The 17,048-nt window shown below is 43.0% G+C and overlaps 1 protein-coding gene across 10 annotated transcripts in view; it reads left to right on the forward strand.

Annotated features, from left to right (window-relative positions):
• The window catches only part of CCNB3 (cyclin B3), a 149,202-nt gene that overhangs the window by 121,648 nt on the left and 10,506 nt on the right, over positions 1–17,048 (forward strand). The window lies entirely within an intron of this gene.

The raw sequence follows: 17,048 nt of genomic DNA on the forward strand, positions 1-17,048 counted from the left end.
TTCCTAAAAATGTATCCATTTCTTGGATATATTGTTATTATCATAGATTGTACATAATATCATTTTATAACCCTTTATAATGATTTCTTTTCTCACTCATTGCGTGATGTGTTATCTTCCTCACATGTGCTTGCATTCATATCTACATATTCTTTTCTTCAATTTTCCTCACAAGCAGTTTTTTAAAAATCCTCTTTGTCTTTTCAAAGAACCAGCTCATGGGTAAATATATACCTTTTCTGTTTTAAAAATTCATTTAACATCTGCTTTTATTTTTATTTTATTCTTGTTTTGCTAAGGTTTATTTTGTTGTTTTCCCTGGCTGCTTGAATTGAATGCTTAGTCTGTTTTAATTATTCTTGACTTCATAACAAAAGATTCAAAGCTATACATTTTCTTCTAAGTATAGTTCTGAGTATATCCAATTAATTTTGAAAAATAGTGTTGTAGCTATCTTGATTTTTCTCAATAATCTGCAGTTGCAATTTTTATTTCCTCTTCGACCCTGTTTTTTGTTGTTTTTTTAGTGCTTAACATTTTAAAAATATTTCCTTTTCTTTGATTTATCCTTTTATTATAAATTTCTAGAGGTATTTCATTGTGTATTGAAAATGTGACCTGAATGATAATTTCTTTCTTAAAGTTAATAAGGTTTTCTTCATGGTTTCAGGTATAATAAGTTTGTATAAATGATTCACTGAAGAACTGTATTCTCTATAGGGTACAATGATCATTATATCAATTTTGGCTTAATAATTATATAATTTATATGCTAATTTATTTTTTCTAATTTATCAAAGCCTAAGAGCAGTATGGTAACTACCCACAAATATTATTGTTTAGTTAATTTCTCCTGGCATTTCTTCACCTCTGCCATCCTACCTTAACTTCCTTGACTTATACAATATTTTAACTGAAAAATTCCAAAAAGGAATTTTGAGGAAAGAGACTTTATTCCAGTGAACAGTTTGCAAACTAGGAGATACCAGCCTTCAGTGTAAAACAAAGGTGTGCTCCTGAGAAAAAAAATTAAGGGTTTAGGTTTTCCAGCAAAGGTTCACACCAAGGTTGCCAATCTGGTCTATTTATGCAAATGAAAAATTCAAACTTGCTTAGTTCTGATTGGTAGATGGTATACATAGCTGAGTTCTGATTGGTTGATACAGTGGAACCTTCATTGGCTGGTACAGCTGAACCCTGATTGGCCAAGGCAAGTGAACTCCGAAAACCTCAAAATTTAAAAAGTGTGGGTTTTCCACAGACCTCTGAGCACCTATGTGACCTCTAGTCAGCAAATGGTCACTTGACTGTATTTTAAATTTAGGCCCAGGTAGCTACTGAGGATCCATCCTGAAGGATTGGCTGTTTCTGGTTTACATTTGTTCACTGTGTATATGTGCAAATGTTCATATATATGTGTGTGTGTGTTTGTGTGTGTGTACATAATAACCCTTTTCTCCTAACTCTGTGGGGTAACAACTATAAATTGTTTAGGGTGTATCCTTACAGATCCTTTATTATATGTCTCATCACTTTTTTAAAGTTTTTTTTTTATTATCCTTTCTTTTAAAATCCTAAGTTATATGAGCAATACATGAAATATAGCTTTTAATGGGTGTGGGTTATATGATATTTTTGTTGTATGAATAATATGAATAGGTTATGCTGTACACATTGCTTTGCACCTTGATTTTTAGGAATAAGTCTTAGTCATCTTTCCATATAAGTATAGATCTATGACATTCTTTTAAACTGCAGCATGATATCCTTTTATGTGAATATAGTGTTTATTTTGTTAACCAACTCTTTTGATAGACCTGGTCTGTTAATTTCCCCTCAAGTAAGCTGAGATAATTTGCATATTTTAGTTCATTCCTTCTTCTGATTTTAGTTAAAATAGTCTAGGGTTTTAGATCCAGATTATATGTAATATATTGTCTTCCCTATGGATAATTATTTTTGACATTTCTAGATGTGAGCCTGTTTTCCTTAATTTTGTCTGGTATATTGTGAGTCCTTTCAGTCTAAAAGTTCATTATTTCTTTGACTCAGATAAATTTTTATCTTTTATTTTTTGACATTATTACCCGTCTTCCTTTTCTCTTCGTGTGTGTATGTGTGTCTCCAGAATTTATTCCCTCAAGTTTTTATTCATTATCTTCAACTTTCTTTTATCTCTTAATTCTGGGAGAATTTCTTAAGATAGCCTTTGGAATAATTGATTTGGTTTTGGCAGTATCTAATATGCTGTTCACTGCCTCTGTTACATTGCTTAAATTAGTTCTTTTTTTCATCAGAAATCAGTCTTTCTGGATTCCAGAATGTCGTCTTTTCATAGATTCAGTGTCCTCTCAGACCTTGTTGAGGGTGTACTCTTTAAAAGTATATTTCAGTTCTTTGGAGCAAAAAGATTGCATAAATAGACACTTACTCTGATTCTTCAGGATTTTTCTCCTTTAAAAATTACTTGTTCTTTTTTCATACATCTGGTTGATTTTCTCTGTTTGTATTTGTAGAAGGTGATCTTTGAGTTTTGGAATTTGAGGCAGATTTTATCAGATTTGTCTCCTAGTTCAAGACTACGAGTACTCTTTATATGTTCTATAGTTTTGATTTATTTGTTACTTTCCTTTTGTTTCTTCTTACCCATCTCTAGACAGGGAAAGCAGTTGTTTCTGAAGAATTGGAAGAGTGTTCTAACCAGAAGCACTTGTGAGGAAAGGAGAGAATCTTGCTAATGTGCTGAGGGACTTCTTGTCCATATTTGTTGTAGCTGCTTTAAATTACCTGGAGCACTGCCCCTATTTTCTGACCAGCACAAAGACCCTTGTTTGGAGCCTGATGCTGAGAGGGCTGAAAACCATATCATGTGAAGAATAGTTAGAGGAAGTCAAGTTATTTGTTCTAGAATGGGAAAGATTTATAGGAGACATAATAACTATCTTCAGTAGTTAAAGGGCTGTCACAAGAAGGATTAGACTTGTTCTATGTGTTTCCAAGTGGTAGAATTATGTTAGAAGGGTATCATCTTACATTCAAGGAAGGAGAATTGCTATAACTGACACAGCTTGTGTTTTAAATATTTATTGACTCTAGATTTCGACCATTCATTCAGATATAATCCACACACTTTGATGTTACCACTTGATACCAACACGCATGAATGCATGCATAAGTGGCCAAGTGCCTATGTGAGGTACTAGGAGGCTATGCAAGCACTAGCTATGGCATTTGCTCACAGAGGCATTATCCTTAGAGAACTGCTGCTTTCTATTCCTATCCTCTTTTTATTTTTCATAATCACCTTACTGTAATTTCTTGATACTTAACGTGGTAGTCATTACTTTTCACATGCATGAGCTCGTCCCATCCCTTTCTCTTGACATTCCTTTAGACAGTGTGATAGGCAGAAGAAAAAGTCCATTTTCTAATCCATAGAACCTGTACATATGTTACCTTATCTAGTAAAGGGGAATTAAGGTAGCAGATGGAATTAAGGTTGCTATCAGCTTAATTTAAGATATGCAATTATCCTCGATTACCCAAGTGGGCCCAATGTAATCACAAGGATACTTAAATATAGAAAAGGGAGGCAGAGAGTGATACAATGTGAGAACAACTTGGCTGGCTATTGCTGGCTTTGAAGGTGGAAGGGCCCACAAAACAAGGAATGCAGGCTGCCTCTAGAAGCTAGAAAAAAAAGAAAATTGATTCTTTACTAGAACCTCCAGAAAGCAACACAGCCTTGATGACACCTTGATTTTTAACCCAGTGAGACTCATTTTGGCCTTCTGGCCTCTAGATCTGTAATATAAAGAATTGGTGTTGTTGTAAGGCATTATGTTTGTGGTAATTTATTATAGTACTGTGTTAGATCATTGTCACATTGCTATAAAGAAATACTTGAGACCGGGTAATGTATTTAAACAAAAAAGAAGTTTAATTGGCTCACAGTTCTGCAGGCTGTGTAAGCATGATGCTGGCATCTGCTCAGCTTCTGGGGAGGCCTCATGGAGATTTTTACTCATTGCAGAAGGTGAAGCAGGAGGAAGCACATCACATGGCGAAAGCAGGAACAAGTGGGGGAAGTGCCATACACTTTTAAACAACCAGATTTTGCAAGAACTCACTATGATGAGGACAGCACCAAGCCATGAGGGATCTGTCCTCATGACCCAAACACCTCCCACCAGGCCCCACCTCCAACACTGGGGATTACAATTCACCATGAAATTTAGAGGGGACAACATCCAAACTATATCATTTCACCCCTGGCCCCTCAAATTTCACATTCTTCTCACATTGTAAATTACAATCATCCCCTACCAATAGTCCCCCCAAATCTTAACTCATTCCAGCATCAAGTCCAAAGTCTTATCTGAGACAAGGCAAGTTCCTTTTACCTATGAACCTATAAAATCAAAACAAGTTATTTACTTCCAAGATACAATGGAGGTACAGGTATTGGGTAAATACTCCCATTCCAAAAGGGAGAATGAACGAAAGGGGCTATAGGCCCCCACATAAGTCTGAAACCCAGTAGGGTTTAAATCTCAAGCCGTGTCATTTAATCTTAAATGTATTAAAGTCATTACATCTTGAAGCTCCAAAACAATCTCCTTTGACTCCGTGTTCCACATGCAGGGCACACTGCTGCAAGGGGTGGGCTCCTAAGGCTTTGGGCAGCTCTGCCCCTGTGACTTTATGGGGTTCAGCCCCGGTAGCTTCTCTCATGGGCTGGAGTTGAGTTCCTGTGGCTTTTCTAGGCTCAGGATGCAAGCTGCCCATGGCTCTACAATTCTGGGGTCTGGAGGATGGTGGCCCCCTTCCCATAGCTCCACTAGGCAGTATCCCACTGCCTAGTGGGACTCCAGAGTGGGGACTCTAGTGAGGGGGTTCAACCCCATATTTCCCTTCCAAACTGCCCTCATAAAGGTTCTCTGTGGGGGTTCCACCCCTGCAGCAGGATTCAGCCTGGACATCCAGGTTTTTCCATACATCCTCTGAAATCTAGGTGGAGGGTGCCAAGCCTCCTTCACTCTTGCACTCTGTGTGCCTACAGACTTAACACCACATGGAAGCTGCCAGGGCTTATGGCTTGCACCCTCTGGAGCAGCAGGCCTAAGTAACTGGGCCCCTTTGGGCCCCTTTGAACTGCAGCTGGAGCTTCAGGGATGCGGGGAGCAGTGTCCTGAGTCTGCACATGGAAGCAGCCCCCCACTCACCCTCCTAGGCCTCTGGGTCTGTGATGGAAGGGGCTGCCTTGAATATCTCTGAAATGCTTTAAATGCCTTTTTCCCATTGTCCTGGCTATTAGCACTTGGCTCCTTTTTAGTTATATAAATCTCTCTAGCCAGTGGTTGTTCCTAAGCCTGCTTGGATTCTTTCCCTGAAAACAGTATTTTCTTTTCTACCACATGACCAGGCTGCACATTTTCCAAACTTCTGCACTCTGCTTCCTCTTTAAATATAAACTCCCAACTTTAAGTGATTTATTTGCTCCTGCATCTGAGTGTAGGCTTTTAGAAGCAGGCAGGCCCCATCTTGAACACTTTTCTGCTTAGAAATTTATTCTGCCAGATATCCTAGGTTGTTACTTTAGGTTCAAACTTCCACAGATCCCTAGAGCATGGACACAATGTAGCAGGACGAGTCGCAGACAAGAACCCCTCGGACACCGAGTTGTGGAAGGAAAGGGCTTTATTCAGCTGGGAGCATCAGTGGACTCAGGTGTCCAAAAACCGAGCTCCCTGAGTGAGCAATTCCTGTCCCTTTTAAAGGCTTACAACTCTAAGGGGGTCTGCATGAGAGGGTCGTGATCGATTGAGCAAGCAGTGGGTACATGACTTGGGGCTGCATACACCAGTAATCAGAATGGAACGGAACAGGACAGGGATTTTCACAGTGCTTTTCCATACAATGTCTGGTATCTATAGATAATATAACCGTTTAGGTCAGGGGTCAATTTTTAACTACCAGGCCTGGAATGCAGCGCCAGACTGTCTGACTACTGATTTCACTTCTGCCTTTAACTCCTACTTTTCCTTTGAGGCAGAAATTGGTCATAAGACAATATGAGGGGTAGTCTCCTCCCTTACTACCCACCCCTTTGAGAACCTCACTCATTAGTGGGAGTTCTCACTTTCTTCCTCACTACCTACGTCTTCTTGCAAGACAGATCGATAGTGATTCATATAGAACACTTGTGCTGAAGCATTTTGGTGAACTAAGGTAGCGATGAAGCTTTTTATCACTTGAAGAAGTACAGGGAGTAGTAAGCAGGTTCCTATTACTATTATAACTCCTATTATAAGAGTTTTAAATCCTCCTAGGTCTGGGAACCATTTTCCAAACATGGCCCCAAGATCAAATCCATGCCACACTTGCATGGGCATATGTGCCAGTTTTGTCATATCTCTATGTCTTCAACTACTTGCCCTTGATCATCTATGTGTAGACAGCAATTAGTAAGGTTAAATTTCCTATAGACCTCTCCTTCAGCTGCTAGCAAGTAGTTGAGAGCCAATCTCTTTTGATAGATAGCATTTCTTATCTGAGTTTCTTGCCAGGCCAGAATAGTCAAGGCTCTGTTGGTTTTATTAGTGATTATTTCTAAGACAGCTTGTAACTATATGATTTGGTTGAACATGTAAATGGGGGTCCGGTATCCCCACAAGTCATCTTGTGCCCACGTAGCAGGCCCATAATATTGTATGATTCTCTCGGGACCATTCATCATCTTTCTAATTTCCTATAGCTATGCTTCTCTTTTTGCGGGAAGCATGGACAGAGGGCAGCCCGGGAGTTTGCCTGTTTTTATGGGCAGTAGGAAGAAAGATGGTTTAATAATGCCAATAACACAACTACCTGCCCACTGGTTGGGTAATTTGGCATAAGCTCTATGCCCACATATCCAGTAAAATCCAGTGGGCGCCGTCCAGTCCCGGTGGGACTCCAGGTGGATCCACACGGTTTGCAACTTTGGGAATTTACTAAATGTATTCCTTTCTGTGTGATTTGAACTCCACCAAGTGACTGTTTTTGTGGTACCATTATACAGTTTCTGTCCCAGACAACTAAGTCATCCTACGGGGTGAGTGAATTCTTTTCCCTCTCTAGCTATGCAATATTGTCCAATAATTGAGGCTTTTAGGATGCAGAAATTATCAGGGTGATTCTTCTGAGCCGGGAATTAATCAGGAACTGGGTCTGTAGGTACTAATTCTCAGGCTTGCCATGGCCATTGGTCTCCCATTACAATTCCTCCACATACATAACATGAAGTGACATTGAGAGACTGGGCTACATGCTCGGCTAATTGCAAAAACAAATTTCTTGTTTTTCCTGGAATTTCTGGTACTGGCACATGTAGTTCATCATAGAAAGTTTGAAACATTGGCTCAGGAGAGCGTTTGTAAACTTCTCCTCGAACTAAGATATTTACTCGAGGATTCAGTCTGGCCCCACTGATTCCTAAGGCCACACGCTCCCCTTTTTTCCAGCGAGAATCAAGGGGATTGGTTATTACCAGCTCTAAGGGGTTACATTGTCCCTTAGTACAGGAAGAGCCACTTTTTCCTTTCTGAAGGTGGACTGGATCCTTTTCATTTTTTTATCCAAGTGGCCCAAATGACACAAGACCAGTATCCACATTCATTTACACACAGTCCTAATTCATGACAAATGTACTTATTTTCAGTCATATAGCCTTTTTCCCAATCAAAAGAGCCACATCCCCTTCCTAACTTATTGCTATTAATGACAGCACAGGCATCAAATTTCAAGATTATGCATTTGGGCACCCTTTTTCTTCTGTTTTGGCTAATACTTTACTTATATCATTTACGAGTCCCCACCTGTCTTCAGTCCTTAATCTTATTTCAAAAACTGTGGACATGGGAGGCTTAGAGGGGTCATAACACACATCTGGCTGGTTGTTTCCTGGGCTACATACCTTGTACTGAGTGTCATTATATAAACATGTTCCTTTTAAAGTTCCTAGGCATTCATAGTAACTATAGAACAGAAAGATTGTTTTAACTTGTTGCCCTACCTCGGTAACCTGATGTATACACTGACAGCAGTCCTCAATGTGGGGAAAATCAGTGGAGGTTTTTACTATACAAGTCCAAATTATAAGGAAAATGAGTCCCACGATGATCCTCCTCATGCTTCGGCTGTGCGTAGACCAGTCAGCTTCCGGGTGTGACTGGAGCAGGGCTTGTCGTCCTCAGAGTCACTTTGCAGGGGTTGTCCAGGCTTGGTTTCGCCTCCCAGATTTCATTGGCTGTGGTGGATCCAGGCTGGGATTCCTTCTACCTTTACAGCCTTGGGGGTGGTCAGGATGACGGTCTGAGGTCCTTTCCACTGTGGCCGCAAAGGGGCTACATTCCAATCCTTCATCCACACGTGGTCACCTGGAGAGAAAGGGTGAACTGGGGAGAATAAGCTGATGGGACATTTCTCATTTACCCAAGTTGAAATAGTTTGTGTAATTTTTCCTAAAGCCTGTAGCTGTCGCTGTAATTCAATTTCACCTAACTCTCAGGGAGTGCCTGGAAGCCCCCCCGTAGTATAGGAGGAGGCCTATGATACAGTATTTCATAAGGGGAGTATCCTGTTTTCTTAGAAGGAGTACATCTAATTTTAAACAATACCATAGGAAGGGCCTGTATCCACTTTAATCCTGTTTCCTGACATACTTTCCCTAAACTATTTTTGATAGTCCGATTCATTCGCTCCACCTTTCCGGAACTCTGAGGTCGGTAGGCGGCATGTAGCTTCCAAGTGATTTCTAATGCCTTTGCTGTCTTCTGTACCAAGTCAGCCACAAATGCTGGCCCATTATCCGAGCCGATTCATAAGGGCAGTCCAAACCTAGGAATAAGATCTCAGAGAAGCACACGGGTTACCTCGTAGGCCTTTTCAGTTCGTGTTGGATAAGCCTCCACCCATCCAGAGTAAGTACACACACGAACCAGCAAGTACCTATTACCTCCACATTTTGGCATTTCTGTGAAATCCACCTGAAGATCCTCAAAAGGAGCCGCTCCATAAGCTTGTATGCTGGGTGGAACAGTGGGGCCTTGCCTCGCATTGTGCTGTTGGCAAGTAACACACTGTTGTTGTGTTACGGCTTTGGCAAGTGCTGGCAACTGTGAGATGTAGAAGTACCGGCCCAACAATTTTTCAAGTGACTCTTGACCTGGATGAGTGGTTTCGTGCATGGCCAATACAATTGTGGCTCCCAGCAACTGTGGCACAGCTACTCTCCCATCTGGCAGTCTGATCCATCCTCCTTTTATTACTTACCCCCCTTCTGCATGGAAGAAGTCTTTTTCTTCCTTAGAATAGGTAGGTACCAGGTCAGATGTTTGAGGGAGTAAGGGGGCTGCTACCAATGCCTGGTAAGGGGTAGATGCTGCTTTTCAAGCTTCTGAATCAGCTCGAGAGCTTCCTAAGGCCACTGAGATGGAGGCTCGCTGGTGTCCCCTGCAGTGCATGACTGCCACCTTCTGAGGTTTCCACACTGCCTCTAGTAATTGTAGAATTTCTTGTTGATATTTTATGTCCTTTCCCCCAGAGTTTAGCAGACCCTTCTCCTTATATAATGTTCCATGCACTTGGAGGGTTAGAAAGGCATATCGAGAGTCAATGTAGATGTTTACAGTCTTACCTTCACTGAGTTCTAGAGCCCGAGTTAAAGCAATGAGCTCAGCCTTCTGGGCTGAAGTGCCCTGTGGCAATGGTTTGGCTTCAATGACAGCATCCAAAGTTACCATCACATATCCTGCACATCTTTCTCCTTGTGGGTTGATGAAGCTGCTCCCGTCCATGTATAACTCCCAGTCTACTGATGCCCATGGCTGGTCCCAAAGGTCAGGTCTGCTAGAATAAACTGAGTCCAACACCTCTACACAGTTATGCTCTACCAGGCTCTCTGATACTAGGAGCAGGGTGGCGGGATTTAGGGTGTTACAGACTTCAGTGGTTATGTGGGGATTTTCACACAGCAAGCTTTGGTACTTTGTTAATCTAGCATTTGTTAGCCAATGATGTCCTTTGGTTTTCATCAAAGTTACCACAGCATGGGGGGCCTTTATATTCAGGTTTTGCCCAAGGGTTAGTTTATCTGCTTCTTGTGCTAACAGGGCTGTTGCTGCCAGGGCCCTTAGACATGGTGGCCAGACTTTGGAAACCCCATCTAGTTGTTTTGAGAGATAGACCACTGGCCTTGGCCAGGGCCCCACAGTCTGGGTTAAAACTCCAACTGCCATTTTTTCTCTTTCTGACACATAGAGTGTAAAGGGCTTTGTCAAATCTGGTAGTCCTGGGACTGGGGGCCGACATAAGTTTTTCCTTTAACTTACAAAAGGCTTGCTGTTGTAGAGGCCCCCATTCAAAAGGCTCCCAGTCGCCTCCTCTGTAACCCTGTACAAAGGTTTGGCTAGCACTGCAAAGTTTGGAATCCATAATCTGCAGAACCCCACAGCTCCTAGGAATTCCCTTACTTGCCTTCTGGTTTTAGGTTCCGGTAGGCTGCAGATGACCTGCTTTCTTTCTGACTCCAGGCTGCGCTCCCCTTTCTGAATAGTGAATCCCAGGTAGTGTACCTGCTGTCTGCAGATCTGAGCTTTCTTCTTGGACACCTTATACCCACAGTCCTCCAGGTGCCAAAGCAGGGCATCCGTCCCTTTTGTGCACCCGACTGCTGTGGAGTGTCCCAGCAGAAGGTCGTCCGTGTACTGGAGCAAGCCTAGGTCTTTAGCAGGAAACTTTTGCAGGTCTCAAGCCAGGGCCTCCCCGAAGATAGTAAGGGAGTTCTTGAATCCTTGGGGAAGCTGGGTCCAAGGGTACTGAGTAGTGACACCTGACTCCGGATCTTCCCACTGAAAGGCAAACAGCTTCTGGCTTTCAGGAGCTAGTCTGATGCTAAAGAAGGCATCTTTTAAGTCCAGACAGGTAAACCAGCTGTCCTCAGCCTGCAGCAGCCCTAACAATGTGTAAAGGTTAGGAACTGTTGGGTGCAGAGTCACTGTAGCTTGGTTGACCAAGCACAAGTCCTGTACTGGCTGGTAGTCCTTGGTCCCTGGCTTAGGGACAGGGAGGAAGGGGAGGTTCCATGGAGACTGGCAAGGAACTATAATTCCAAAGGCTTTCAAGTGCCTGAGATGAACCTGGATTCCTTCGAGAGCTTCTCTGGGAACCGGATACTGCTTTTGTCTAATTGGCTGGGCCCCAGGCTTAACTTCTATGAGTACAGGGTCTTGGTTGACCACCAGTCCCGGAGGATTATCATCCGCCCATATTCGGGGCCATCGCTTAGCTAGAGCTGGTTTTATCTCTTGGCCTGGCTCGGTCAGAAAAAGTCTCCATTCTTTTTCCCTGGTGACCATAAGAGCCATGATAACTCCTGTTTCTGGTAAGTTTAGCTGTAAAGAGCCCTGTTTTGTAAAGGAGATGGTGGCTCTCAGCTTGCTAAGCAAGTCTCTTCCCAGCAAAGGCAAGGGACAGTCAGGCATATACAAGAACTGGTGAACTATTTCATGTCCCCCCACTGAGAAGGTCCATGGTAGACAGAAAGCCTGCTTAGTGGAAACTCCTGTTGCTCTGATTATATCAATGGTTTCCTTGGATAAGGGGGTGACCAGGGTGGTCACTACTGAATGTTCAGTACCAGTATCGACCACAAACTTAATGTCCTTGCCCCCAATTGTAATCCTGACCGTGGGCTCCTTGGGGGCGCTTGAGCCGGGTCCCCTTCAGTCTAATTGCCCTTCAGCCAGATTGAACAAAGCTCCCTTGTCTTTTTCTGAGGTCTTTTGCTCCGAATCACCTTGCTTTTCCTTCAGTTGGGGACACTTATCTTTCCAATGTCCTATTTCCTTACAATAGGCGCATTGGTTACATTGCAGCATGGGCGATTAGATTGGGTATTCTTCCTGGAACCCCCCTTTCCCTGTCCTTTTGGGGGAATTCCCCTAATGGCCGCAGCCAGTAAGTCGGTGTTTCACCTGGCCTGGCGTTCGCCTTCCTTACGGCTTTCTCTGGGGCTTGTTGCATCTCTATTCACAAACACTTGATTGGTTATTTCCAGTAACTGCGAGGTATTCATACCTGCAAACCCAGCCTGTTTCTGCAATTTTCTCCTGATATCTTCCACACTTTGACTAAGGCCATATTAATCATTCTCTGATTTTCAGGACTATCTGGATCAAAAGGAGTGTACATACGGTAAGCCTCACACAGTCGTTCATAGAATTGCGCTGGACTCTCCTCTTTTCCTTGGATGACCTCAGAGACCTTATTTACATTTGTATCCTTTTGAGCCTCTTTCTTTAGACCTTCTATCCATGCCGCATGGTACTGTCTTAGCCTCTCCATGTCTGGCCCCTTGTTCAGGTCCCACTGGTGGCCTGTTCCTGGCAGCTGAATTCTTCTATATTCTTGAGGGTTTTGGTAATTGGCTAGGACGTGCTCCTCTAGCCACTTAGTTGCCGCCTGGAGCACCCTTCACCTTTCATCTGTATTAAAGAGGTACATGAGCAGCTGGTGGCAATCAGCCCAAGTAGGATTATGAGTCTGTATAATAGTTTGGAGCAAGTCAATTAAAGCTTGAGGCTTTTCGGTGTAAGTTGGAGTATTATTTTTCCAATTGAGGTCAGCAGAGGTGAAAGGTTGATACACAAAGGCTGCCTTTTCACCATGTGTCTGTCCTCATCTACCCCAGTATATTGCTGTTCTCTCACGGGCATTTGGATTTCAGTCTTGGGCCGTAAGTGAGCTGCCAAGGGAGGAGTTTCTCCCATGGCTTCACTTCTTCTTTTGTCTACTCTGGGTGGTCTAGGAGTATGGATATCTGGTGGAAGTGGAGGTGCTGTGGGCTCAGGAATGGGGAGCCCTTCCTCTCGATAAGGAGGAGGCACTGCTGGTACCAATTCCTGCCATGATTCTTCCGGTGTTGGCTCGGACAGGACTTTTGGTGCCGACTTCCCTCGGTGGGTGGAGTGACAGCCTTCCTTAACTAACTGTCCCTTTGCTACTAGTACTGCTGCTGCCTGTCCTCTTAACCACTGTGGGGGATCCAAAACTAGCTGTAACCAAGAATCTATATACGGGAACTGATCTGGGTGCCCTGGCTTACAGGTTCCCCTGTGCCATACCTTCGAGACAAGGGACCTGTCCAGGCTTCCTTCTGATGGCCAACCCACCTCTAATGCTGGCCAGTCTATCTCACACAAAGTTCTAAGTTTTCCTGGTGTCATAGTAACTCCATAGTCTCCCTTAAATCCCTTTTTGAAATTTTTCAACATAGTTCCTAGTGAGGTGGGCTTACTTTGTGCCTGACCTATGTTTCCTTGAGACAAAACACCATGCTCACACCACACGCACACCACAAAACAGAATGGGTAAAGAGGGCACACACACACTTTTACAGTTTATACCAAACCAGAATCAAAACCAAAATCAGAGTATCAAGAAATCCCAGCCAGGTCAGAAACAAAACCAAAGTATCAAGTAATCCAAGTCAAGTCAAAAACAAAAACCAAAGTGCCAGTGCAGGCACGTCATGGGTGATTAGGCCACGCTTCCACTCAAATGGAGGGGTAAGTTCCAAAGACCAGTCTTAACAAGTTCCAGATGTCCAGACTCCAAGTACCAGTTCCTTCCTGGTGTTCAGCCACTGCATTGATCCTCCACAGGCACCTGCCATGCACTGCTCTGGTGAGGCGTTCCACTGGGGCAATTGCCTACCCGGGAGCGCTCTCAGGATCCACGTTGCTCAAGCTGGCTGGAGTCCCCCACAGGGATGCTCCACAGGGCAGGCCTAAGCCGCCTAAGGGGCTGCCTTGACCGTCCATTAATCACCTCACTTCCCAGTCAGGGAACCAAGAAATGTAGCAGGATGAGCTGCAGACAAGAACCTCTCAGACACCGAGTTGTGGAAGGAAACAGCTTTATTCAGCTGGGAGCATTGGTGGACTCATGTCTCCAAAAACCGAGCTCCCTGAGTGAGCAATTCCTATCCCTTTTAAGGGCTTACAATTCTAAGGGGGTCCATGTGAGAGGGACATGATCGATTGAGCAAGCAGTGGGTATGTGACTGGGGGCTGCATGCACTGGTAATCAGAATGGAACAGAACAGGACAGGGATTTTCACAGTGCTTTTCCATACAATGTCTGGTATCTATAGATAACATAACCAGTTAGGTCAGGGGTCAATTTTTAACTACCAGGCCTGGAATGCAGCGCCAGGCTGTCTGACTACTGATTTCACTTCTGTCTTTTCTTTAACTCCTACTTTTTCTTTGAGGCAGAAATTGGTCACAAGACAATATGAGGGGTGGTCTCCTCCCTTAACAATATAGCCAAGTTCTTTGCTAAGGCATATAACAAGGGTGACTTTTGCTGTAGTTTCTAATAAATTTTTCATTTCCATCTGAGGCCTCTTTAGCCTGGACTTCACTGTCCATGTCAGTATCAGCATTTTGGTTACAGCCATTTGACCTGTCTCTAAGAAGTTTCAAACTTTCCCTCATCTTCCTCTCTTCTTCTGAGCCCTCCAAATGTTTCTATCCTCTGCCCATTTCCCAGTTCCAAAGTTGCTTCCATATTTTCAGGTATCTTTATAGCAATGCCCCACTCTTTGATACCAATTTTCTGTGTTAGGCAATTTTTGCACTGCTGCAAAGAAATACCTGAGACTGGGTAATTTATTCTAAAAAGAGGTGTTAATCCAAAATATCTGAGACAGGTCTCAGTCAATTTAGAAAGTTTATTTTGCTTCCATGACACAGCCTCAGGAAGTCCTGATGACATGTGCCCAAGGTAGTCAGGGCATAGCTTGGTTTTATGCATTTTGGGGAGAAATGAGACATTAGTCAATATATGTAAGATGTACACTGGTTCACTCTGGAAAGATGGGACAACTCGAAGTGGGGAGGGGGCTTCCAGGTCATAGGTAGATAAGAGACAAATCGTTGCATTCTTTCGAGTTTCTGATTAGCCTTACCAAAGGAACCGATCAGATATGCATTTATCTCATTGAGCAGAGGGATGACTGAATAGAATGAAAGGCAGACTTGCCTTAAGCAGTTCTCACCTTGACTTTTCTCTTTAGCTTAGTGATTTTGGGGTCCCAAGATTTATTTTTCTTTTGCAGAGGCTTGGCTAGGTATGATGGCTCATGCCTGTAATCCCAGCACTTTGGGAGGATTGCTTGGGGCCAGGAGTTTGAGATCAACCTGGTAAACATAGCGAGATCCTGTCTCTCAAAAAAGAAAAAATAGAGGTTTGATTCACAGATCTGTAGGATATATAAGCATGGCACTGCTATCTGCTTGGCTTCTGAGGAGGCCCCTTCAGGGAGCTTGTACTTTTGGCAGAAAGCAAAGCAAGAGCAGGATGTCACATGGCAAAAGCAGGGGCAAGGGGGTGGGGTAAGGTGCCACACACTTTTAGACAACCAGATCTCACAAGAACTCACTATTGCCAGAACAGCACCAAGCCATGCAGGCTCCATCCCCATGACCCAAACACACCTCACCAGGCCCCACATCCCACATTGGGGATTACAATTCAACATGAGATATAGAGGGGACAACATCCAAACTATATCAGGCACCAATAGGAAACTAACACAGAACAGGTTTCTGAGTAGATCCAAGGCCATATTCCAGAAACAGTAAGAACTGTTTCTTGGTATTTCTGTTATTCAGAAATTTAATATGTGTATTGCTGAACCATTATATTTGACCATCTTCGGATAATCATTCATCCATGAAAATACACATCAATTTCTCCAGTGCTTCTCATTGACATACTTTTTGGATCATCTAGGTACCAGTCATTAAGAGTAACCTATACAAGGGGAGGTCCACTTAAGTGAAACTTACAGGGAGGGTAATGTCACTCAATATAAGGGAGAATTTTCTGTTAAAGCCATTCAAAAAGAGATTGGGCTGTATTTAGAGGTTTGTATGGCAGGATCTAAACAACTACTTGGTGGAGATGTTAAAGAGAACATTCATGCATTGGTTGAGTTGTTGGATAAGGACAGATTTTATTCTCGAATCCTAAGAACCCAAGAGGTTGTGAGGAAGAAGCATCACTGAAGATTGGATGGGACTCTTGTGTATAGATGTGCAAATTATGCCTACACAAGGTCTCTAGCCAAGGCTGAAACCACCAATAGAATCTAGCTCACACTTTGTTTGCCAAGCTGTGCATTCTGGCTGTGGGGCTGCTGTGCCCTGAGGCAGGAGTAACCTTTGGCTAATTCATATAAAGGTATTATCTACTTGATAAGATGTAGGCTTGAAGGGCTGCATTCACCCAAAGAAGACACTTTTTTTCTAATTTGCAGAAAGGTACTGCAGGGGCCAGCACAAACCATGGGACTAGGGCTATAGGAGATGGTTTCTTGGAGTTGGTGAAGGCAAGACAAGGATACATAAGAAAAAGAAACTAGAAATCAATAGCAGGAGGAAGTTGGAAAACTGTACAAATACATGGACATTAAACAACGTGCCCCTGAATGACAAATGGGTCAATGAAATTAAGGAAATCAAATTCTTGAAACAAATGAAAATAGAAATACAACATACGAAAACCTATGGGATAAAACAAAAGTGGTACTAAGAGGAAAATTTATAGCAAAATTTTATTTAAAAAGTAGACAAAGATCAGCCAGGCGTGGTGGCTCACACCTATAATCCCAGCACTTTGGGAGGCCAAGGCAGGTGGATCATGAGGTCAGGAGATCGAGACCATCCTGGTTAACACGATGAAACCCCCGTCTCTACTAAAAATACAAAAAATTAGCCGGGCGTGGTGGCGGATGCCTGTAGTCCCGGCTACCCGGGAGGCTGAGGCAGGAGAATGGCGTGAACCCGGGAGGCGGAGCTTGCAGTGAGCCGAGATCGCACCACTGCACTCCAGCCTGGGAGACAGAGCGAAACTCCGTCTCAATAAATAAATAAATAAATAAATAAATAAATAAATAAATAAATAAGTAAAAATTTAAAAATAAATAACTTTACAAAGGT

Source organism: Homo sapiens, chromosome X (genome assembly GCF_000001405.40).
Source record: "Homo sapiens chromosome X, GRCh38.p14 Primary Assembly".
In the NCBI taxonomy this organism is placed as follows: Eukaryota; Metazoa; Chordata; class Mammalia; order Primates; family Hominidae; genus Homo; species Homo sapiens.